The following is a 23,768-nucleotide window of genomic DNA, read 5'->3' on the forward strand; positions in this document are numbered from 1 at the left end:
CACCGTACCCTGCTTTAAACTTTTATTCAAAGTCCTTTTGTGCAAAGATAGAAATAATTCCTGGATCCTACAGAGTGCCTGGCATGATGAGTGATGCTCAAAACGTAGCTGTGGAATGATTAGTTTTTTGAAACCATCCAGACAGAAGCTATGAGAAAATCAGACAGTGCACCTCTTCTGAATCACACTGGAAGATGTCCACATTCATCTTCACATTTCTCACCACTGTTCTGTGAGGAAGGTGGACAGGGAGTGTTGTATCCATTTTATGGATGAAGAAACCGAGGTCGCAGAGGAAGCCAGAGACAAGATTTTAAGTTAGGACCCAGGGTTCTCTCCATGCAACCTCAGGTAAATTATCCTGTTGTTGCTAGTGACTCCTATTGGAGACATGTGGTATTGCAACCAGGCCACATTAGACACTGAAGGCACCTCATGAGGAAGAAGGTGGGCACATCCTGGGTGCCAAGCCCAGAGAGGGAGAAACTAGGGTAGATATTAATATCGGAGCTGGGGGAATGAAAATGATATTTCAGAATCAACAACAGATTGGAAAGGCTTAACTAGTTTAAAACACATTCCCTATTCTTAAGTCCCCAACACTTTTTCAACCTCCTCTCACTCCAAAGTAGAACTTAATGTAGCAAAGGTATGCTTTGTAGGGTGAACCCTTATAATTATAATGACAACCAGTGGGAAAACTTGGTTTCCTTTCAAACGTTTGTGTGACTAATTAGGAGGGACTATTCCATTCGTTAAAGTGAAGAAAGAAGGACTGAAAAAAAAAATCACTCTGCAAAATCCAGCTCAAACATTGCTGCATCTCAGTTGCCATTGTCTTAGCTACCTCTTCCCTGGAACAATGAATTGATTGTCTTCTTTCCTGGGTTCCTGCCTCATTTGGTACTTTCTTCTCTTTACTGCTGCACAGTCGTTAAATATGTGTCTTTGGTGCCAGCTCCCTGGGTTCTAATCCCGGTTCTAAGCTTACTAGCTGGCCAGTTACTTGACTTCTCTGTGCCCATTTCCTCATTTGTAAAATGCTGTGAGCATTAAATGGGTTAACAGTTTTATAGGACTTAGAACAATACCTGGTGTAATGTAAGTGCTCAATAACTAGTTTACACTTATATAGATATGTCAGAATGCTCTCTGTATTTATTTATGTGTCTTTCCCAACAAACTGTGTGCTCCTCAAGGACAAGAACTGACTTCATCATCTCCTATTCCAGGGTTTAGCACCAGATGCTTATTCAAAGTATGTTAAACTGAATATTATGTATTCATACTTTATTATTATTTTTTCTAAGACAAGGTTCTTGCTCTGTTGCAGTTCTTGCTCTGGAGTGCAGTGGTGGCATCATGGCTCATTGCAGTTGCAACTTCCCATGCTCAAGAAATCCTCCCATCTCAGCCTCCAGGGTAGCTGGGACTACAGGCATGTGCCACAATGCCTGGCTAATTTTTTTTTTCTTTTTTGTATTAGCAGGGTCTCACTGTGTTGCTGAGGCTGGTCTTGAACTCCTGGCCTCAAGCAATCCTCCTGCCTCAGTCTCCCAGAATGCTAGGATTATAGGCATGAGCCACTGTATCCAGCCTATACTTTATATAAAGTAGAAAATATGCAGTGAGGTGGAGTTAGCCACCTTTTTTTTTTTTTTTTTTTTGATAAGTTAAGCCTCAGCTTACTGCTTCCCAGAGATAAACCAAGGTTCGAGTCTCTCCTTTGTTTAAAGAAAAACATCTGGCTGGGCCACTGCAGTCCTACCATGAGTTCAGGAAAACGTGCTATGGTCCAACTGTCTACCAGTCAGGACACAGTTAATGAGCACTTCCTGTAAACTTATTTGTACCTGCAGTTCTGATAATATGACCTGGAGGAAATGGTGTGGTGGTGGCCGATTTCTAAAACTAACTGCAAAGGATTGCATTCCTCTAGGCACCTATGAACTTCAAGATGGGACCCCTTTCCTCTCGTCCTTCTTTTTAGAGAGTTTAGAGAGCAAGAACTTACTCAGATGAAAACAAACTAAAAGATGTTGAGAATGCCTCTGTGCAGACCCAAATCTATAGGATGTTATTTATAGTAAATTATGGCATATTTTTAAACTTCTAGTCCCTAAGAAAGTTGTTTTCTTGCCTCCCTCCTTCCCTTCCTTCCTTCCTTCCTTCCTCTTTCTTCTTTCTTTCTTTTTTATTTTTTGGAGATGGAGTTTTGCTCTTGTTGCCCCAGGGCTGGAGTGCAATGGTGGGATCTCTGCTCACTGCAACCTCCGCCTCCCAGCTGCAAGCAACTCTCCTGCCTCAGCCTTCTAAGTAGCTGGGACTACCGGCATGCACCACCACACCTGGCTAATTTTTTGTATTTTTAGTAGAGATGGGGTTTCACCATGTTGACCAGTCTGGTCTGGAACTCCTGACCTCAGGTGATCCACTCGCCTCGGCCTCCCAAAGTGCTTGGATTACAGGCGTAAGCCACAGTGCCTGGTCTCCTTCCTCCTTCTTTTGAGCAGTATCCATAGCTATGTCCTGTGTGGAATGCCTTTCTGTTGTAAAACACCCCAACGTAGAGTCTTTCACTAGTGCTTTGCCCATAGGGGACTTCACGGTGGTTGAAGACAGAATGCCCTGCTGCTCCGTGCCACCTGCCCAGCCATCTCCTAGTCTCTAGGTCAGCTCACTGTATTCTATGCTCCTGGAAGTGGTAACCAGGGCTGGGGTGGGGGTTATATTCACGGTGAGCCCAGTGCCCAAACAGAGCTTGGACATATATGTCACCTGACATACATGAGTCGACTTACAGGGACAATGGAGTGAGTTATCTGAATTTTTTTTTTTTTTTTTTTTTTGAGACAGAGTCTTGCTCTGTCACCCTGGCCAGAGTGCAGTGGCACAATCTCGGCTCACTGCAACCTCTGCCTCCTGGGTTCAAACGATTTTCCTGCCTTGGCCTCCCGAGTAGCTGGGGACTACAGGTGCCCGCCACCACACCTGGCTAACTTTTGTATTTTTAGTAGAGATGGGTTTCACCATCTTGGCCAGGCTGCTCTCAAACTCCTGACCTTGTGATCCAACCACCTCGGCCTCCCAAAGTGCAGGGATTACACGTGTGAGCCACTGTGCTGGCTTTTTTTTTTTTTTTTTTTTTTTGAGATCAAATCTCGTTCTGTCCTCCAGGCTAGAGTGCAGTGGTGTGGTCTCCTTTCACTGCAAACTCCGCCTCCTGAGTTCAAGCGATTCTCCTGCTTCAGCCATCTGAGTAGCTGGGATTACAGGCACCTGCCACCAGGCCCAGCTAATTTTTGTATTTTCAGCAGAGATGGGGTTTTGCCATGTTGGCCAGGGTGGTCTTGAACTCCTGATCTCAGGTGCTCCACCCACTTCAGCCTCCCAAAGTTCTGGGATTATAGGTGTGAACCACCGTGCCCGGCCATGTTATCTGAAATTGAGAGTTCTCCTCCAGGTCACTACTTACTTACCTATAACTACTAGACAGAACTGGACTGCTCAAAGCACTCCTGCTAGTTTCAACCGTTTCAGTACAGATGGCTCATCCTGTCTCTCATGAACATTATAAAATCAGAGGCAGGGTTTGTAGCCATCAATAAGTCAGGTCTGACCTTCCACAGTCCAATGTTTATTCATTCAGTTATTCATTCATTAATTCAGTTATTTAACAATGTTTTTACTGTGGGCTGAAACTCAGTACCACTATGGGAGGAAGTGTGGGATAGAAAAGAAACAGGGGACAGGGTCTCAGATCTTGAGGTGTCTGCAGTCTACACATAGCAGGGATGCCTAATCTCCCAAACTCAAGGACAGTGTATATCAACATAGGCACTGGCACAAAGTACAGTTGTGCCAATAAAGGTTGTAGAACCAATGTGGTGAGTGAGCAGAGGCAGGAATTGTCAGTCAAGGTGGGGTTCCAGCTGCCCTTGGCCACAGAAGCATGGCTGGGTGGGGGGCCACCAAAGGGCTGCTTCTCTGCATTCAGCCTGCCTTGGCTGAACTCAAAGATGCTGCTGGATAAAGGGCTGGAGAATGGCCTTGAATAGGCAAGGGGCAAGAGAAGGTGGGTCCCACACCGTCCTCACAACACAATTCAAAGAGTTCTGTGAGGAAGAAGAGGGAGGGAGGGAGGAACAGAAGTGAGAAGGCCTCGAACTGGAAGTGCCATGGGGAGTGGTGAGCTCTGCCAGCTCTGGAGTGAGCTTCCCAAGATAGGACAGGGGCCCTTCCCGCAGAAGGACAGATGAGTGAAGGTCACAGAGGACTCCAGTCCAGAAATACTGCCCTGCCCCTCCCAAATACCTTTCCTGCAAATGCTTAAAGTTCCACCATTGGAGATGTATTGTTATGTATTTTTCTCCTCCCCACTTTCAGTAATTTTTTTCATTATAAATGTCAAACATTCTTGTCATAGAAAACTAGGAAAATGCAAGGAAGATAAAAACATTTCTTACCCCACACTCCCAACCTCCAAGGCAGCCCCTATTAACATTTTGGTGTCCTTCTCTGCCCCCTTTTTTGTCATTTTCAGGCATGGCTGTGAGTTCCCTGGAGGGGATTCTGAAGCCCACTTTCCCCACTTAGCTTCAGTCCTATTTCAGTCTGGTGTTCCAGAAAAATCAAGTCTTCCATCCCCGAGAGCCAGTGAGTTCTATGACCTTGAGGAAGTCATTCATCTTTCTGGACTTTAGTGCCCTCATCTGTATAATGGGGACAATCATGGCCCACATGCTACCTCACAGTGCTCCAGAGTCAATGCTAGTGCAATGTTGCAAGGGCATTGCCAATACAGTTCAAGTATGTGGGGCTAGGACTGATGGGAGTGGTCAGGACTCAGCCAGTCATCATAAGGCTATGACAAGAAGGCCAGGTCACCTGGAGGATGGGGAAGGACAGGGAGAGGGACAGGTGAGCCCACACCCACACCAGTCCTGTCCAGGCTCCCCAGGACCAGCCCTCCTGGGCAGCTGTGTGTCAGGTCAGCATGGGCACCTTCCCTCGGAGCTGCTGGGGCATCATCTGTTCCACTTCCTGTTGGGTCCAGAGTTCATTTCCAGTGCAGTTTGAGGGAGATTAGAGGAGAGAGCCAGCCTGGGAAGCCGCATTTCCACTTGGGAGGCACAGGAGATATGGAGCCAACCAAAGGCGGATGGTTCCTGAGGGTTTGTTTCAGGCAGGGTGGGCTGGCCTGGGGGCAGGTGCCGGGAAGAGGAAGGAGAGGTCTGCAGACATCCTGGAGCTAGATTTGATGTGGCCATAGCAAAGCTTTCAGCCTCATCATGTTTGTGATTTCCAAAGTGTGTGTGTGTGTGTGTGTGTGTGTGTGCACGTGCATGTGTGCACAAGAGGAGGAGAGGGCTCCAGCCCTGAGCGCTGGCTGCCTTGGGCTGGTTAATGGAGACAGGTAGCTGCATGTGGATATCCAAGAATGCTTCTCTTGCATACCTGTGTGAACGTGTGGACCCAGGACCAGCTGTGGGGCTGCCCAGGAATGTAGACACCCATGGGGGAACAGTGGGGGTCTGTGTGTCACCAAATGCCTGGACTTGGGCTGTAGTGTGTGTGCCCCATGGAGCCCGTGTCCGAGCCCAGGAAGGAGTGCTTCCGTCACCACACATGTGTTTGTATGATACTTTACATGTTTACTGCCATAAAAAGGCCACAAACCAGGGTTATAAGCTGAAAACAACACTTGTTTCCTGAGTACCTACTATGTGCTGGGACCTGTGCCAGACTCTGGAGACACAGAGAGAAGTGAAACTCAGGCCAGCCCTTCAGGAGCCCACAGGGCAGAGGGAAGGTGGCAGAGCAACAAATCATTTATGGCACAGGCTGTAGGTCCCAAGGGCTGCTCTTCATGTCCTTCCTCAGGGATCCTATAATATCACAATTGCAGGGATGATCTGTTTTCACTGCCGTCTCCCCCTCCAGGCTATAAGCCCCTTGGGGATGGACACTTAGGAGGTACACGATGCTCTGTAAGGATGTATAATGCAAAGGTGTCTGTGAGTCAGGCTGTGCCTGGGCAGTTCTGAGCCAGCCATGGCCAATCATGAGCCATAGCCAGTACTGACAGTACCGCTGGGCTAGGGCTGGGCTCAATTCCTGCCTCCACTACAGCTGGCCCACCTACACCTGCTACGTCAGCTCTCCCAGCCTCTGTTTTTTCATCTGTGCAATGGAGTTATGATTGTCCCAGCCTCCCAGAGGGCTTGAGGCTTTAGTGAGATTGTGAGCCAGGCCCGGCACATGTGTGCACGTGCACACACACACACACACAGAGCTTGGTACACAGGAGCTGCTGTGGAATTATTATTATTAGCAAGAAGGAGCTATTATCTGGGCAGTTCTATGCAGCCTTATTGGCCAAAAAGACAGAAGCAGAACTCTGAAGCCTCCATGGGCAAGCTGGAAGGCACCCCAGCAGACAGAAACCTGGTACAGTTCTAACATCAGGAGGAGGGAACCCAAGGGTGGGGCCACGCCATTGGCTGGCAAGGATTCAAGAGCATCCATCTAAATATTTTCCTCGTGTTTCTCACTCTCCAGCCACTGATGTCTCCATCGAGTCTTGGGTGCTTCTTCCAGTCTTTGATTCATAGGCTTACCCATCAGACATCAACATGTAACTTTCATGAAATTTTGAAAAGGTGTCACTTTGGGAGAATGTGCCCTGCCTTCTCCATGCACAAGCATGCTTATGTGTGCTTAGGGGCATGAGAACAGGAGGAGCAGCTGGGCAGCCTGAGCTGAACCCACTCCATCCTCACCTGCCTAGGGGGTGTGGCTGGGGCCTGGTGGGGTCTGTCTGCCACCCCAGTCCATGGCTCTTCCTTCTCTCTGACTCACACTGGTCCAGCTCAGGCCCCTCATCCTCTAGCTTCTGTGATCGTGGTTCAAAATCTTACCAGTGATATGCTGGAGCTGGGTCCAGCTGGCCTGCAGGGCTAGCTGTGCACATCTCTTCCTAACTCCAGTGATCAGAAACGATGCCACATTGGTGGCATGAAGTCAGCCATGATGGGAATATTTAAGGCACAGAGATCAACAGATGATACAAATCAGACCACCATCAACCCTCCTTGAGAACCAGTTGTAAACACCATCACACCCCAGTCCTGCCTGCAGGTATAACGATCACTGATATTAGGTGCCGGCACCTGCTAGGCATTTAATATCTTTTTTTTTTTGTTTTGAGATGGAGTCCCATTCTATTGCCCAGGCCAGAGTGCAATGGCGTGATTTCGGCTCACTGCAACCTCCACCTCCCAGGTTCAAGCGATTCTCTTGTCTCAGCCTCCTGAGTAGCTGGGATTACAGGCATGCACTGCCACACCCGGCTAATGTCTTTGTATTTTTAGGAGAGACAGGGTTTTGCCATGTTGGCCAGGCTGGTCTCGAATTCCTGACCTCAGGTGATCCTCTCACCTCGGCCTCCCAAAGTGCTGGGATTACAGGCATGAGCCAACGTGCCTGGCCAGCATTTAACATCTTACCTGCACAAAAATCCTGTTAGATATTTCTCATCATCCATATTTCATATGGGGCTCATAACTTACATGATTTGACTCCAGGTCTCTGCACATTACATTGGGCCATGTGGCCTCAATAAGTAGAACCATGGGATTTGATAGGGCTGGCAGAGCTGTTAGGAATCATCAGATCATGTAATCACTGCGCTCATTTGACAGAGAAACTGAGCTCAAAGAGGCTCAAAGAGGTGGGGGCTTCCTCTGTTAATGCCACCTAACACGGTAGCCACCATCTTCCCAACACCTCCCTCAACACCTCTCTCAGCCCCCTACCATGCTGGTGTCCACTGAAAAGCCAAGGTCGCAGTCACTTGATGTTCCCTATGCATGGCTGATTTTTTGGAAACTTTACATGCAGATCTTGACATTCATTGCAAGTTATATTTTGTTTTGCTTGATTTGACCCCGTGTTCGAGACTCTCAAAAACATTTTAAATCTCACTTGGGTCATTGGTTGTATGTCTCCTTTCTAGACAGGTACCACGCGCCGCTTTGATCTCTGCACCTTCGCAGCAGAAATTGGGGTTAAACTTTAAAAAATAATAAGCAAAACAGAACTTTGGGGCCCAACACTTGAAGTTCCCACCCTATCTACCAGAGATTCTGGCATCTACACACCTTGGAAAGTGGGTCCCTCCTCCCGCAGGGCTCTGTCTGCCCCACTGTCCACTTTGGATTTCTGCGCTGGGGAACATCAGCAGCATTTTGTCAAAAGCCCACGGAGGCCCACGCTGCGCGCCTCGCCGGTAACAGTCACTCTCCCGTTTAAAAACAGAGCGCCCTTTCCTCTCTCCCCTCTGCCCAAGACTCTTTGCCTGGCAACAGGGTCCCCTGAGCCATTGGACATGCATTTCCCCCGCTTCCAGAGAGCGGTTCTGCACCAGGACCCGGCCCTGCCCTGAGTCTGCGGGCTGCGGCGAAGAGACCGCACTTGCCCGGCAGGAGGGCGGACAATGACCCGGGTTTTCCACCGACTCCAGATGCGTCCCTCCTCCTACCCCTCCACCTTCTCTACCTCGGAGAAGCCATTGCGCTTGCCTCCGCCCCATCCCGGAGAGGCAGAATCTCCTCCGTCCCCGCCTCGTACCCTCCTCCCCGCCTCTCCAGGCCCGGGGGGCTTCACGTTCAGCCACCGCGACCCCGGGCGGGCGCGGCGCCAGGTGAGCGCTCACCTGGGGCCGGAGGGCGGGGCAATGGGGGAGGGGCGGGGGCGGTCCAGGGGCGGCTGCCCCACCCGCGACGGGGCGGGGCGAGGGCGGTGGGGCCAATGGGGCGGGGGGCTCGCCGCCCGGGGCTGGGGAGCCTCCCAATCTCCTCCTTTCCCAGCGCCGCCTGCCCCGCCCCACCCGGGTTTAAAGTCCCGCGGGCGGGTGGTGGCGGAGCTGCGAGCTTGAGCGGCGCGAGGAGATGCTAGAGGGCGCAGCGCCGCCAGCACCATGCGCCCCCCGCCCGCGCTGGCCCTGGCCGGGCTCTGCCTGCTGGCGCTGCCCGCCGCCGCCGCCTCCTACTTCGGGTCAGTGCCCGCCGCGCCCCCCGCCCGCTCCCCGGCCTGCCTGTCTCTCCCTCCTGCGCTACAGCTGGGCCAATTTTTCCCTCCCGCTGTCCTTGGCCCCGCCGAGGTCTCGAACTCAGACCCTAGCCCGGCGCGACCCAACCCACTTCGCAGTCGGAGTTCGCGCCCTGAGTTCGGTCTCCAGCTTCCCCGGCTCCGAATCCATCGCCCTGTTCAGTGTCCGAGTCTCTGGTCGCCCCCCAGCCGCCGCTCTCCTCATCCCGCCGGGTCTCGGACTCTGCGCACGCCTCGGACCCTGGCCCCGTCCGCCCCGGCCCCGCCCGTTCAGGCGTCAGTCCCGCTCTCTGATGCCCTCTCGGGATCCTCACGCCGGTGCCCTGTCTGCCGCCATCCTGGCCTCCGGCGAGCCGTCCTTGCCTCGGACTCCTTCCCCACCCTCCGCCTTCGCCCTGCGGAGCGGAGACCGAGAGGGCTGGGTGGATGGGTGGGACGGGCTGTTCCCGGTCTCGGGGCAGAGGATCGTGCGCGTCCAGGGAGAATGGGGGAAACCTCGGACGGTGAGAGCGCCAGCTGGAGACGCAGGAAGGAACCGTGCGCTGGGGAAATGCGACCACATCTCAGACCTGGCATGGGGTGATTTCTCAGGAGAACACTGGAAAGAGTGAGAGGGCCCAGTGTGTGTGTGTGTGTGTGTGTGTGTGTGTGTGTGTGTGTGTGTGTGTGTGTACATGGTTGGAAAAGGAGGATCACAGTGGGGGGTGACACCTGGGGGACAGTGGGGTAGGTGACACTGGGGAGAGAGCCGGACAGGAACTATGTGGGGAATGTTTGGAGCAAAAGTTATAGGGCAATTGTTTCCAGTCCCTTCTTCTCTGACCCTGAATTGCAGGGATTTGGTGAGGGATGGGGGCGGGTATCATGGGTAAGAAGGCACCTTCCCACCATCCACCCAAAGCCAACTCCAATATGTACAGCCTGTTACTTTAAGCCTTGCCTCCTTTTAAAATCTTCACCCCAAATCAATAGGAGGCTTACAGTCTGAGTATATACAGCAAAGGCAAGAAAACACCAAGCAAGTGACCTGCTAGAGGCTGCTTTGAAGAAGTAGCCAGGGAGAGGTATGTAAAGGTCTGAGAAGTTCTGCACAGGTTGGAGTAAGGGCTGTGGGCTAATTTCCAGGTCATGACCCCTGGTGGAAACATGTCTGGGCTGTGGAGGAGGGTATCATCCCAGACCCTAGCTCTGGGCTTAGCTTGCTAATGATATGGGAAGACCACTCAGTCTCTGGGCCTCACTTTCTCCTTTTGTACAAAGAAGGGGTTGAACTTGATATGACTGATCCTTTTGCGATCCACCCCAACAGCAGTGCACAACTTGTTTGTTTCCGAAGATTTCAGGCTTGAAGGAATGGTTGTTCCCTCGGCAGGCAGGATGTCATCATCACTAGGGCACAGACTCTGGGGTCAGTCTTGCCACTTGCTAGGTGTGCTCTTGGCCAAGTCACTTAACTTAACCTCTCTGTCTCTCAGTCTCTCAATCTGTAAAATGAAGATTATACTGCCTATTTTATAAGAAGATTGAGCTAGTACATGTAAAGCACTTAGGACAGTGTCTAGCATGCAGTAAGTGCTCAACTAATGCTAGTGACTTTTTTTTTTTTTTTTTTTTTTTTTTAAGACGGAGTCTCCCTCTGTCACCCAGGCTGGAGTGCAGTGATGTGATCTTGGGTCACTGCAACCTCCATCTCATGGGTTCAAGCGATTCTCCTGCCTCAGCCTCCTGAATAGCTGGGACTATAGGCGCGTGCCACCATGCCCAGCTAATTTTTGTATTTTTAGTAGAGACAGTGTTTCACCATGTTGGCCAGGCTGGTCTCGAACTCCTGATCTCAATCTGCCCAACTCAGCCTCCCAAAGTGCTGGGATTACAGGCATGAGCCACCAGGCCTGGCTAGTTTTTTTCATTAAGGAAACCAGTTATAGAATCTTGATGTCCTGGCCCTAACAGTTTTCTGAGCTGGAATGGAAAGGGATGGGACAAATGGTACCTATATCCTCTTACACACTGGCTCATTTCCACGATTCATTTGTTTGCTTGGTTTTTATGGTTAGAGATGGGGCAAGAGTCAGGTGAGATGAGAGGAGAGGGGTTCCAGGAGGACCACCCTAGCTGCTGTATTGGAAGGGAAAGGTGTTCTCAGCAGTGCATGGGGTTAGAATTTTGAGGGAACTGAGCATGGAGCAGCCTTGAAAATGACATGTGAGATGGTCAAATAGGCCTGGGTTAGGGCTGAGAGGGATGAGTATCGGAGCCACCTCTTCCAGGTCAGGAGCCCAGCTGGAAAGAGCTGACAAAAGACACAAAAGCCACCACCACCCCAATCTGGGGAGCAGGACAGATGCTCAGAGAATCAGCTAAAACTGGGGCCTCATGATGTTAAGTGTTTGGTCTCAGGGAACAGACAGGATTCAGCCTGAGCTCTCAGTTAAGAAACCCTCTGGTGACTCAGACCAGGTTTCCCAGCTTCCCATCTGCATTCGCTGTCTGGGAGGAATCTGGTATCAGTCATCTACACTGTAGTGGGAAAGTGAGGCAAAGCGCTTCTTCCTCCGCAGTCATTTGCATTTGATTATAACACAAAGTGCTTTGGCATCCTGATAAGAGAATATGCAAACATCAGGAGGGCAGGTGAGGCCGATCTTCTTGGGCTCTTTGAAATCATAGAATCGTAGACTTCAGAGTTGGAAGTGACCCCAGAAGGATCTCTGGTCCAAAACTCACTGCTTCAAGCAGGATGTATTATTATCCCAATTTTTCAGATGAGGCAACCCCCAAACCCCAAACCACAGTGAGCCAGCTGTTGGTTCTGCTGCTTTTGAGTGAGCCTAGAGCCTAATTCTGTTAATGGTGATAAAAAAAAACATAACTAGTATTGCAGTTTACAAATCTCTTTTTTCTTTTTTTGAGATGGAGTCTTGCTGTGTCACCCAGGCTGGGTGCAGTGTCATGATCTCGGCTCACTGCAACCGCCACCTCCTGGGCTCAAGCAATTTTCCTGCCTCAGCTTTCCGAGAGCTAGGATTACTGGTGCCCCCCATCACACCCCACTAATTTTTGTATTTTTAATAGAGATGGGGTTTCACCATGTTGGGCAGGCTGGTCTTGAACTCCTGACCTCAGGTGATCCACTTGCCTGGGCCTCCTAAAGTGCTGGGATTACAGGCATGAGCTACCATGCCCAGCCCATCACTTTCTCATACAGCCATCTCTCTCATCTGATCCTCAGAGCCATTTCTCCAGAGCCATGTAGGATGGGTGTAAATAGTTCCCACAAGGAATCTGAAGGTCAGAAAGGTTCAGTCAGTCACCCAGTGTTACACAGTGAATCGGTGGGGGAGGTTGAATAGAAACCCTGCTTCCAGTCTGGGCCCTTCAACCTACAGGAACAGCCTCCAGTGCTAAGACAGTATGATTCCCCCAGGGCAGCAGTGGCTGCAGAGAGGCCGAAGGGGGTGAGGGTGGAGGGAGCCTCCCTTCCCTGCTTAATTGACTCTTTTAGACTCTCTTGGCTGTAGTGAGATGGATAAGGCCGCACATTCTTTTCTGTCCTCAGTAGTGAGACGGGTTGCACTGACCCCTGCTAGACTGTCAGTTTGGCTCACAGAACAGCATGATGGCAGTGGGACAGGAGGCGGACCAGAGGTGAGGGTCCAAGCTAGTCCTGGCTCTGGGACACTCTCTGTGTTGTCCCTGATCAAGTCACTCATCTCCAAGGTCAGTAGCACCTGGAGGTGCTAAGGTTCCCTAATGCTAACAGGGCTGGTCCTGGCTCTGGAAGTCTAGGATTGCTGAAGAGTTTTTATTTTGGCTTTGAATGCCTAGGAATTCCACAAATGTTAACTTCTGTGATGTTGTATAAATGAAAATGCACTGCATTATGTGATGAGCTGGGCACAAGACAGGCCCAGTTACCCAATCCAGTCTATTTATTTATTTATTTAGAGACGGAGTCTCGCTCTGTCACCCAGGCTAGAGTGCAATGGTGTGATCTCGGCTCATTGCAACCTCCACCTCCCAAGTTCAACAGATTCTCCTGCCTCAGCTTCCCCAGTAGCTGAGATTGCAGGCATGTGCCACCATGCCTGGCTAATTTTTGTATTTTTAGTAGAGACCATGTTGATCAGGCTGGTCTGGAACTCCTGACCTCAAATGATCCACCCACCTCAGCCTCCCAAACTGCTGGGCTTATAGGTGTGTGCCACCATGCCCGGCCCCCAGTCCAGTCTGTAAGTTATCCGAGTGGCTTTGTAACTAGAAATAGTTTCTGTGGATGCAAGTTTTTAAATCATAATTAACTTTGGTGATGTTTCTTCAGTGTGTGACCTCTGCACTGGTTGAGTTTCTTTCCTCTCTAGGGATAGTACAGAGAAGTTTATGAAAGCCCAAGACAGTGAATCCCAGCTTTGCCTGTTGCTAACTGTGTGACTTTAGACAAATGTCTTAACCTTGCTGAGCTTTGGGTTATGAGAATACCTATCTGAGAGGTGAGGGTGAGGCTTAATTGAAACAATGAATGAAAGGGCTGGATAGGGTGTCTGGCACATATGTGCTAAGTGCTCAGTCCAGGCTCACTCTCAGTGGATGCTGGGGTTCTAAACATCATCCCAGGTGGTGGAAGTGTCATTACTATAATTCCATTGGAGAAACAAAACATAATCTTTATTTTCCCCCCAAATCGTTGTTATATACAATGAAATGCATGCTTTTTCTTTCTTTTTTTTTTTTTTGAGATGGAGTCTCACTATGTCGCCCAGGCTGGAATGCAGTGGTGCAATCTCGGCTCACTGCAGCCTCCGCCTCCCGGTTCAAGTGATTCTCCTGCCTCAGCCTCTCAAGTAGATGGGATGACAAGTGTGCGCCACCATGCCCAGCTAATTTTTGTATTTTTAGTGAAGACACGGTTTCACCATGTTGGCCAAGCAGGTCTCAAACTCCTGACCTCAGGTGATCCACCCACCTCAGCCTCCCAAAGTGCTAGAATTATGGGCGTGCACCACCACGGCCAGCCAATGCATGCATTTTAAATTGCACAGTTTGGGTTTTAACAAATTATACACCTGTGTAACACATTTGTGGTGACTCCAATGACTACATAGAACATTTCTACCATCCTAAAGGATCCTTTGTTCCTCTTTGCAATCAACCCTCTCCCACCAGCCCATGGCTACTCCACTTCTCCGCTTTCAGTCACTATGTGTTAGTTTTGCCTATTCTGGAAGTTTATATCATGAAATTGTGAGTATATAGCCTCTTTTGCTTGGATTATTTTGCTCAGCATAAAGCTTTTGAGATTCATCCATGTCGTTGAATATAGCAATAGCGAATTCCTTTTTATGGCTGAGTATTCCTTTGTATGGCTATACCACAAATTATTTATCCATTCCCCACTTGATAGACATTTGGGTTATTTTGGCTGGGCGTGGTGGCTCATGCCTGTAATCCCAGCACTTTGGGAGGCCGAGACGGGCAGATCACTTGAGGTCTGGAGTTCGAGACCAGCCTGGCCAACATGGTGAAAACCCATCTCTACTAAAATTACAAGAATCAGCTGGGTGTGATGGTGGTGGTGCATGCCTCTAATCCCAGCTACTCAGGAGGCTGAGGCAGGAGAATCACTTGAACCCAGGAGGCAGAGGTTGCAGTGAGCCAAGACTGTGCCACTGCTCTCCAGCCTGGGCAACAGAGCAAGACTCTGTCTCAAAAAAAAAAAAAAAAAAAAAAGATATTTGGGTTATTTGCAGTTTTGGACTATTCCAAATAAAGCTGGTATAAACATCCATGTACATCTCTTTTTGTGGGTGTATGTTTTCATTTCTCTTGGATAACTGTCTAGGAGTGGATTGTTGGATCAGATGGTTGATATATGCATAACTTATAGAATTGGCATTTTTCAGAGTGGTTTTACCATTTTACACAGTAATGTATGAGAGTTCCAGTTGCTCCATATTCTATGGTCAGCTATCATCAGTTTTAACTTGTGGCTATTTTCGTAAGTATGTAGTAGTATCTCATTGTGGTTTTAATTTGTATTTCCCCATTGATGAATGGTGTGTTGAACATTTTCCCATGTGTATATTGGTCATTTGAATATCATTTCATTGGGTTATTTGTCTTCTTATTGAATTGTAAGAGTTCTTTATGTATTTTGTTGTTGTTGTTGTTGCTGTTGTTTGAGATGGAGTCTCACTCTGTATCCCAGGCTGGAGTACAATGGCATGATCTTGGCTAACTGCAACCTCCACCTCCTGGATTCAAGCAATTCTTGTGGCTCAGCCTCCCAAGTAGCTGGGACTACAGGCATGCGCCACCATGCTCGGCTAATTTTTGTATTTGTAGTAGAGATAAGGTTTCATCATGTTGGCCTGGCTGGTCTTGAACTCCTGACCTCATGTGATCCACCCACCTCGGCCTCCCAAAGTGCTGGGATTACAGGCGTGAGCCACTTGGCCTAAGAGTTCTTTATATATTTTGGATACAAGTCTTTGTCACAAGTACTGGTAATATTTTATTCCTGCCCGTGACTTGCCGTTTCATTTTCTTATTGATGTCTTATGAAGAACAGATGTTTTTAATTTTGATGAAGTCCAGTGTATCAACCTTTTCTTGTATGGTTTGTGCTTTGTTGGTGTTCTACCCAAGAAATCTCTGCCTACCCAAAAGTTGCAAAGATTTCTTCCTACGTTTTCTCCTTTTTATTTTATTTTATTTTATTTTATTTTATTTTTTGGAGAAATGATATCTTTCGGTCCTCCAGGCTAGAGTTGCTTCTGCTGCTTTTGAGTAAGCCTGGAGCCTAATTCTGTTGGTGGTGATAAAAACATAATAACTAGTATTGCAGTTTACAAATCACTTTCTCATACAGCCCCTTCTCTCACCTGATCCTCAGGGCCATTCCTCCAGAACCATGTAGGATGGGTGTAAATAGTTCTCACAAGGAAACTAAATGTGTTACACAATCACAGCTCACTACAGCCTCGACCTTCTGGACTCAAGTGATCCTCCTGCCTTAGCCTCCTGAGTAGCTGGGGCCACAGGCATGCGCCATCACGCCCAGCTAATTTTTTATTTTTTTGTAGAGATGGGGTTTTGCTATGTTGCTCAGGCTGGTCTCAAACTCCTGGGCTCAAGCAATTCTCCTGCCTCGGCCTCTCAAACTGCTGGGATTATTGGCATGAGCCACAGCTAGAAACTTATAATTTTAGCTTTTTTTTTTTTTTTTTGACAGAATTTCACTCTTGTTACCCAGGCTGGAGTGCAGTGGCATGATCTCGGCTCACTGCAACCTCCACCTCCCGGGTTCAAGTGATTCTTCTGACTCAGCCTCCTGAGTAGCTGGAAGTACAGATGCCCGCCACTGTGCCTAGCTAATTTTGTATTTTTAGTGGAGATGGGGTTTCACCATGTTGGGCAGGCTGGTCTTGAACTCCTGACCTCAGGTGATCCACCTGCCTCGGCCTCCCAAAGTGCTGGCATTACAGGCGTGAGCCACCACACCCAGCCAATCTTAGCTTTTACCCTTAAGTCTATGGTTCATTTTGAGTTAACTAGTGTGTACAGCATGGAGTAAGGGGCAAGCTTATTATTTTGCATATGAATGTCCACGTGTTTCAGTGCCATTTGTTGAAATGATGATGTTTTCTCCACTGTCATCTTTGTTGCTCATCAATTGATTCAATATGTGTGGGCCTATTTCTGGACACTCTACTCTGTTTCATTTATCTATATGCCTATCCTTATGCCAATACTATACAGCCTTGATTACAGTAGCTTTAAAAAAAATTTTTCCCCAATAAGCCTTTTATATTCCTAGATTACTATAGCTTTATGTTAAGTCTTGAAACTAAGTACTATAAGTTCTCTAACTGTGCACTATTTTTTCGAAATTGCATGGGCTATTCAGGGTCATTGTATTTCGGCATAGATTTTAGTAGTATCTCGTCAATATCCACATGAAAGCCTCCTAGGATTTTGACTGGGATTGCATTGAATCTATACATCAGTTCATGGAAGATTGACGTTCTAACAATATTGAGTCTGCTGATTTGCACACAGGCCATATCTTTCTATTTAGAGCTTTTGTAATTTCTCTCAGCAGTGTTTTCTAGTTTTCAGTGTGCAGGCATTGAAAATTTAAAAAAAGAAATTCTTCCAATGTGCTCTATGTATTTAGATAGTATTGTTTTTATTTTTAATAAAAACACATTTTTAGAAATTGAATTGGGGCCTGAGAAAAACATAGTTGGAGGGAAGGAAAGGTAAAAGAAATTTTACTGCTTTGGGGGTGGTGGACTGAAAGCCAAACATCGCTGATAAGAATCACTGTGTTTTGGGAAGGAATTTAGGCCAGCTTGTCTCTGGCTGAGCTGTAACCCCTGAGGAGCTGGGCTCCAGAGTTGGGCTGAGAGTCATCCTAGCCTCTTCAGTGGATGATGGTGGACTTTCTGTGGCTGAGGACGGGAAGGAGGAGAGGAGGGAAGCGGGGCCGGCAGACTCCCGGGCTGGAATCTCCTAAGGAAGAGAGGTCCTGGTGCCTTTGGGATTATGTGCTCAGGTGGAAGTTGGGCTCAGGAGGAGGTGGGCCAGGTGCTGTGAGGGTGACTCCCATCCTGGCATCAGCATGAGCAGGATCGGACATGGCCCAAGGCCCTGTTATAGTGTAAGGGGCACTGGGCTTGGGGTCACACAGATCAGAGTTCAAATCTCCATCTACCACTTACTGACTGACCCAGGGCAAGTCAGATAACCATTCTGACCCCAGTTTTCTCATCTGTAAAATGGGATAATCTTGATCTCTTAGGCTTGTTGTAAGAGTTAAATGAATGTATATATAGGTATTCAAATGCTATCTCTATATAAGGATTCCAAGAAATCTAGTGATCTGCCTTACAGCGTCCCACGTTTAGAAGAGTCTTTGGTGGTGACATCTGTTCCTTCTTCTCTGTGCCTGTATCCCAGCCACTGTACAATTCAGAACAAACCCAGCCTTTTCTGTGCTCAGCACTTTATGTGCATTACTTCACCTCACATTGTGGCAACCCAGGAGGTAGGTGCTGATATAATTCTCATTTATTTTAAAATTTCACTTTTTTTTTATTTTTAGAGAGATAGGTTCCTGCTCTGTCACCCAGACTAGAGTGCAATGGCTTGATCATAGCTCATGGCAGCCTTGAACTCCTGACCTCAAGCAGTCCTCCTGCCTCTGCCTTCTGAGTAGCTGGGATTACAGGCCCAAGGCATCATACCTGGCCAGTTATCCTCATTTATAGGTGTGCGTGTTGGGGGGAAACTGTCAGAATCCAAGCCAACCTCTTCATCTCTGCCATATGTTGGCAGTGGAACCCCAACTGGAGGCCTGTCCCCTTAGGGCAGCTCTGTCCCTCTGAGCCCCGACCCTGTGGCCCAGGCCCTGCACTTGGTGCATGTCCTGGGCATCTGTTGTCCTGTGTGTCTCAAACTCTTGGCTCATTAGCTAATTTTTCAGGTGCTCAGGTCTTCAATTCACTTGTAGTTTCCTTTAGTAGAGACCTCGGGGCCCTGCTGTTGGCTGAGTCCCACAGTCTCTAGCAGTGCTCCCTGGTCTGCAGTGAATATCTTGGTGGGCAGCGTCCTCTCCCTTTCACTGGCCCTTCCTTTCCCCTGGAATCTCCCTCTGTGCCCTGTCCCATTCACTCCTTCATCTTCTGCCTCCATGGGCTCTCTGGGGCACATACTACCTCACCTAGGCCTGGCCAACTGGGAGCCATGGCCTGGCTTCTGTCAGGATAGGAACTGGACACAAAGCAGAGAGCAGAGACTTATCCCCATCGGACTCCAGAAATCAGCCACACCCACCACCTCATGGCATGCTGGTAGCAGCAGACATGAGCTGGGGGCATAGGGTGGCCTCTTCTACACCCAAGCCCCTCATTGGAGAGATGAAGGCTGAAGAGGAGGGTGAAGAGTCTTAGAGCCAGAAAGACCAACTACCAAGCTCTGGTCAGTCCTGGAAACTTCCAAGAGGCTGGTTTTAGGGCAAGACCAAAGGGTTTGTTTTTCCTGGTGTTACAATCCCTTTGAGGCCAGATGCTGTCAGAATTCAACATTTCTCTTTGAATTTTAGAAAAGTAGGCCGGGTGCAGTGGCTCATGCCTGTAATCCCAGCACTTTGGGAGGCTGAGGCAGGTGGATCACCTGAGGTCAGGAGTTTGAGAACAGCCTGGCCAACATGGTGAAACCCCATCTCTACTAAAAATACAAAAATAGCTGGGCGTGGTGACAGCCGCTTGTAATCCCAGCTACTTGGGAGGCTGAGGCAAGAGAATTGCTTGAACCTGGGAGGCGGAGTTTGCAGTGAGCCGAGATTGTGCCATTGCACTGAAGCCTGGGCAACAAGAGTGAAACTCCGTCTCAAAAAAAAAAAAAAAAGAAAAAGAAAAAGAAAAGGGAAAGAAAAGTAATATAGGAGGTAGGGGAGGCAGAACAAATAAACTTAAAAAATAAAAATTAAAAAATTAAAAGTACAGAAAGGTAACGTATCGTATATTCCATGGCTAACAGCACCTCTAGCAAGATCTGGGGCAGCACCTGTAATCAGACTCTATTAATTTTGCAGGTAGACATCTACAGGTTGGGATAAACAAAGCCCATAATATTCTCCCTGGTTTGGGTCAGGGCTTGCTACCGTATGAGTTCACCACAATTGTTAAAAAAACTTGTAGTTTTCTGAGTTTCCTGGAATTTGGAATTGTGGATAAGGGTTTGTGAATCTGTGGCAAATTCTGAGCCCAAGTCACTGCGAGAGGTTGTGCAAGCTGAGTTTTTTTTGTTTGTTTTGTTTTGTTTTTTTGAGACGGAGTCTTGCTCTGTCGCCCAGGCTGGAGTGCAGTGGCAGGATCTTAGCTCACTACAACCTCTGCCTCCCAGGTTCAAGGGATTCTCCTGCCTCAGCCTCCCGAGTAGCTAGGACAACAGGCGTCTACCACCACACCTGGCTAATTTTTTGTATCTTTAGTAGAGATGGGGTTTTACCATGTTGGCCAGGCTGGTCTCAAACTCCTGATCTCAAGTGATCCGCCCGCCTCGGCCTCCCAGAGTGCTGGGATTACAAGCGTGAGCCACTGTGTACCAGGCCTAAGCTGAGTTTTAAACAAAGACTCAGGCCAGTTGCTTGGCTGGTCCTCGCTGGGTGTCACCAGGCTACCCAAGCACAGATCTTCCCCAGGAACTGAGGTTCAGAGGGAACGGGCCTGGCTCTCAGACCCCAAGGTACAGGGCCCCACAGGGGCTGAGGACCATGGCGGGATGGCCCCGAGATCTGGCACTGGGGAGAGCATACGCCAGCAATCAGTCGTGGGCTAGGGAGGGCGTGGCACAGGCAGCCTCCTCCAGAGCCACGCCCTCCCAAAGCCCGCCCAGCCCCAGCTTGGGAAGGTTTGGCGGTGGGGCGTTAGGTGGTAGCCTCTGCAGCCAGAGAGCAAGACCACAGCGAAGCCAGCAGGGTGGGACTGCAGGGAGGCTGAGGGACAGCCCCGAACTGCACTCCTTGCGTGGGGTTAGACACCTAAGGGGCATAATATGCAGCCAGCAGGTGTCTGTAGAGCATCTGCTTGGGAGGAGCACGCATCTGGACTGGGAAAGAATGGATCTCAGGGTATGAAAAACCATGGCCTCTGCCAAGGAGCTTACAGGATACAGCTTTGAAGAGGAAGAAAGGAGTGTCTGCCATGCGGAACTGATGGTACTATATATACAAAAGTGGGAGAAGACAAAGAAAGAGGATGGTTAGAGGGGGATGGGGCTGGCAAGTAAGGAGGGCTTCCTGGAGGAGGCAAACAAACATCACAGCATACTAGAGCTGTCTGGGACCTCGGGGTGATCAAATGTTAAAAAAGGACATGGCTATAAAAGGTTCCAGGGTATCCATGAGGGCTTTTGGACTGGGAGAAGGTTACAGCATGGGGGTCGGACCGAGTTAGACATGGCAGAGGACAAGGGAGAGACTAGCCTGGCTGAGGGGAGGGTCCCCTTTCTCCAGCCCTGGCTGGCTCTGGATTTAGGACAGTCCTAGTGGTTCTATTCCCAAGGGAGCCGCTCACAACTACATCCATCCCAGGGGGTGTCCTGGACTACTCTGGGGGTGGATCCTTGATCAGGCAGGGAGGTTCCTGCTGTCCCTACAGCTGGGCGAAGGGTGTGGGCCATCCGTGGGGCCTGCAGGAGAACAAGTGGAATCTGCAGCATGGGACATCTCTGCCTAGAGCCTGTGCAAACAATGGCACTGTCCTCATCATTGAGGGGGTCACGCACAAGGCATTCCCCAGAGGCCTGGCCCTTCCAGGGCCCAAGCCCAGCCTGAGCCTGCCTGTGCGTGGGAAGAGGGTGATCGGAGCCCAGGGTGCATTCAAGAACCTGTCAAGGTAGTTAGTTGGTCAATGCGTCATGGTTAAATAACTTGGCTGCAGTCACCCAGCCAGAGTCACCCAGTACCCTGGTTGGGTAGGAACTTGCCACCAGGAGTGCGGTTTCAGCCATGATTTGCCTTTCCCTGAACTTCCCACCCACTGCCTCCACATCCCCACACCAAGCTCCCCCAACTCCTTCTCTTCACATACCAGGCCCTCTCCTTTGAACTTCCCTCTATCTAGCCAAGTATGTTCTCAAGCACTGGTATTGTATCAGACTCTCACACTTTAGTATGAAGAGGTAGGCCACTTCTGTAAGCCTGATTCCTGACTTTTTGCTGAAGAGACTGAGTTTCAGACCAGGGAAAGTAGCCTTTAAACAGAGGGTCTTTCTCTCCCTTCCTGAGGGTCCACCCTTGGGCCACCCAGGGGGTCAGAGGAGTCCTGACCAGGTTTCCTTCCCTCAAAACCTAGCTGTCTTGCATTTCCACCACCTTAGATGCTTGCTGTGGTGATGGCTGATTTGGCTTCCCTGATGTGCTGGGTCTGCAAGCAGAAACTGCCAGGCTTGGTGGAAGCAATCAAGAGACCTGGGCCACAGACCCAGCCCTGCTACCAAGCCAGTGGGTCGCCTTGGACGACCAATCTTGCATGAATTTGTGGCCACCGGAGACCTGCACACTTGGCATGCCCTTGCCCTCCTGCTTCCCCGCACAGCCTCCAGGACACCTTCCAGGAGCCAGCAGAGCAGAACTTCTGGGCCGGGTGACCTTAAAGGGTTTCTCCAGCTCTAACGTATAATGGTTTGAATGGTGTACATTTGGACTCAGCCTAGGAACTGGGGTAGATGTTTACAGTCACAGACTCATAGAGGTGATGGATCCTTCTTTGCAGGAATGACTTTGGGGACCCTCCGCAGCCACTGTGACACCTGATGCATACGTGCCAGGGACAAAGGCTTCCTCTCCTTGGCTTCAGCCCGAGCCTGAGTGGAGAGGGAGAGAGACAGGAGGAAGAAGAAAAAGCATTTCCTTCACAGATGTTGAACTAGCCACACTCTAAATGCCGGGGATTGTTGAGATGCAAAGCATGCTTGCTGTGCGAGCTGCTCACTACCCACTTAGCCCCTGAGCACGTCTCCCTGATGCCATCCCCTGCAGGCAGCCTGGTCTGCGGCTGTGAGACAGGAAGTGGGGCTGTGCTTGGAGAGACAAAGCCTACAGCTGGACCCGGCTCTTTCCTCTCTGAGTCAGGGATGGGTGGGGGACGAGGCTGTGGGGTGGGCTCCAGCGGGGAAGTGTGGCCAGATTCAGTCCTCAGGGTGGGTTCATGGGGATGGAGGGTGAGAGCTGGGTAGGGAAGGAAGGCTGGATCCAGGAGTAGGGGTTGGGGAGCCAGACAGGAGGAACGAGTGGTTTTGAGGTCTGTGGGTGGACTGGGCAAAAAGCTGATGCTTAGAAAAGTCCTTTTTGGTGTGTGTGACAGGGTCTCACTCTGTCACCCAGGCTGGAGTGCGGTGGCGTGATCATGGCCCACTGCAGCCTTGACCTCCTGGGCTCAAGCGATCCTCCTAGCCTGTAGCTGGAACCACAGGCACGTGCCACCATGCCCAGCTAATTTTTTAATTTTTAATTTTGTAGAGACAACGTCTCACTTACGTTGCCCAGGCTGGTTTTGAACTCCTAGGCTCAAGTGATTCACCTGCCTTGACTTCCCAAAGTGCTGGTACTACAGGTGCGCGCCACAATGCCTGACCAAAAAAATCCTTTATAGTTGTACTTTTGTTTATTGATACTCAGTTAATAGAGGTATAAATGAATGAGCGAGTAAGTGAAAAGAGGGGGTGGAGAGAGTTGGGCATAAAGGTAGGAAGGTTGGAAATAGTAGCTTCCGAATTTGCCTGGCTGCAGGACGTCATGGAGGAGGTGCAAGGTGGCATTGGGTGCTGTAGAAGAGAAAGGCACCTGGAAGGTAGAGGGGAGGGTGTGCTCACAGTAGGGGAAATCTGGGGCCTCCCAGTGTAACAGCAGGAGGGGAGAGAAGCCTGGAGTTGGTGTTGAGCAGCCACCCTCAAAAAAGGGCTGCCCAGAGCCATGGTGCCCTCTCTTACTGGGCCAGGCACTGCCCCTCACTGAACTCCCCGCTACTGGGAAGAGGTTGGGAGCGGAGAGCACAGGAGGGGCTAGGGGTGTGTGAGAGTGTGTGTGTGAGTGTGTATGTGCGTGAGAATGTGTGTATGTGTGAGAGTGTGCATGAGTGTATGTGCGAGTA

General features: G+C 49.6%; 2 protein-coding genes across 4 annotated transcripts in view, besides 3 other annotated features; both read left to right on the forward strand.

Annotated features, from left to right (window-relative positions):
* LRRC37A2 (leucine rich repeat containing 37 member A2) overlaps positions 1 to 23,768 on the forward strand; it is a 676,337-nt gene that overhangs the window by 469,867 nt on the left and 182,702 nt on the right. The gene's annotated exons all lie outside the window — the stretch shown is intronic.
* Positions 1 to 23,768, forward strand: part of WNT9B (Wnt family member 9B) — a 53,550-nt gene that overhangs the window by 9,470 nt on the left and 20,312 nt on the right. For 2 of the 3 annotated variants that reach the window (NM_001320458.2, NM_003396.3), the window contains exon 1: positions 8,925 to 9,057. The exons of the other annotated variant lie outside the window; for it this stretch is intronic. In NM_001320458.2, coding sequence (NP_001307387.1) covers positions 8,981 to 9,057 — 77 coding nt within the window. In that variant the 5' untranslated portion in view covers positions 8,925 to 8,980. Of the gene's footprint in view, positions 1 to 8,924; positions 9,058 to 23,768 lie in introns of those variants that run through there. 3 annotated transcript variants of the gene reach the window in all.
* Positions 2,226 to 2,391: a silencer, noted in NCBI's record as "fragment chr17:44922250-44922415 (GRCh37/hg19 assembly coordinates)". NCBI's record gives its function as "represses an EF-1alpha promoter that drives an FKBP-Casp9 reporter gene in an ReSE screen in phorbol 12-myristate 13-acetate-treated (for megakaryocytic differentiation) K562 erythroleukemia cells {active_cell/tissue: K562(+PMA)}" and the evidence as "EXISTENCE:reporter gene assay evidence [ECO:0000049][PMID:32094911]".
* Positions 21,197 to 21,439: a silencer, noted in NCBI's record as "fragment chr17:44941221-44941463 (GRCh37/hg19 assembly coordinates)". NCBI's record gives its function as "represses an EF-1alpha promoter that drives an FKBP-Casp9 reporter gene in an ReSE screen in phorbol 12-myristate 13-acetate-treated (for megakaryocytic differentiation) K562 erythroleukemia cells {active_cell/tissue: K562(+PMA)}" and the evidence as "EXISTENCE:reporter gene assay evidence [ECO:0000049][PMID:32094911]".
* Positions 21,543 to 22,368: an enhancer, noted in NCBI's record as "H3K27ac-H3K4me1 hESC enhancer chr17:44941567-44942392 (GRCh37/hg19 assembly coordinates)". NCBI's record gives its function as "activates a minimal SCP1, AML or CMV promoter by ChIP-STARR-seq in naive H9 embryonic stem cells {active_cell/tissue: H9 hESC(naive)}" and the evidence as "EXISTENCE:reporter gene assay evidence [ECO:0000049][PMID:30033119]".

This window comes from Homo sapiens, chromosome 17 (assembly GCF_000001405.40).
Source record: "Homo sapiens chromosome 17, GRCh38.p14 Primary Assembly".
NCBI lineage: Eukaryota > Metazoa > Chordata > Mammalia > Primates > Hominidae > Homo > Homo sapiens.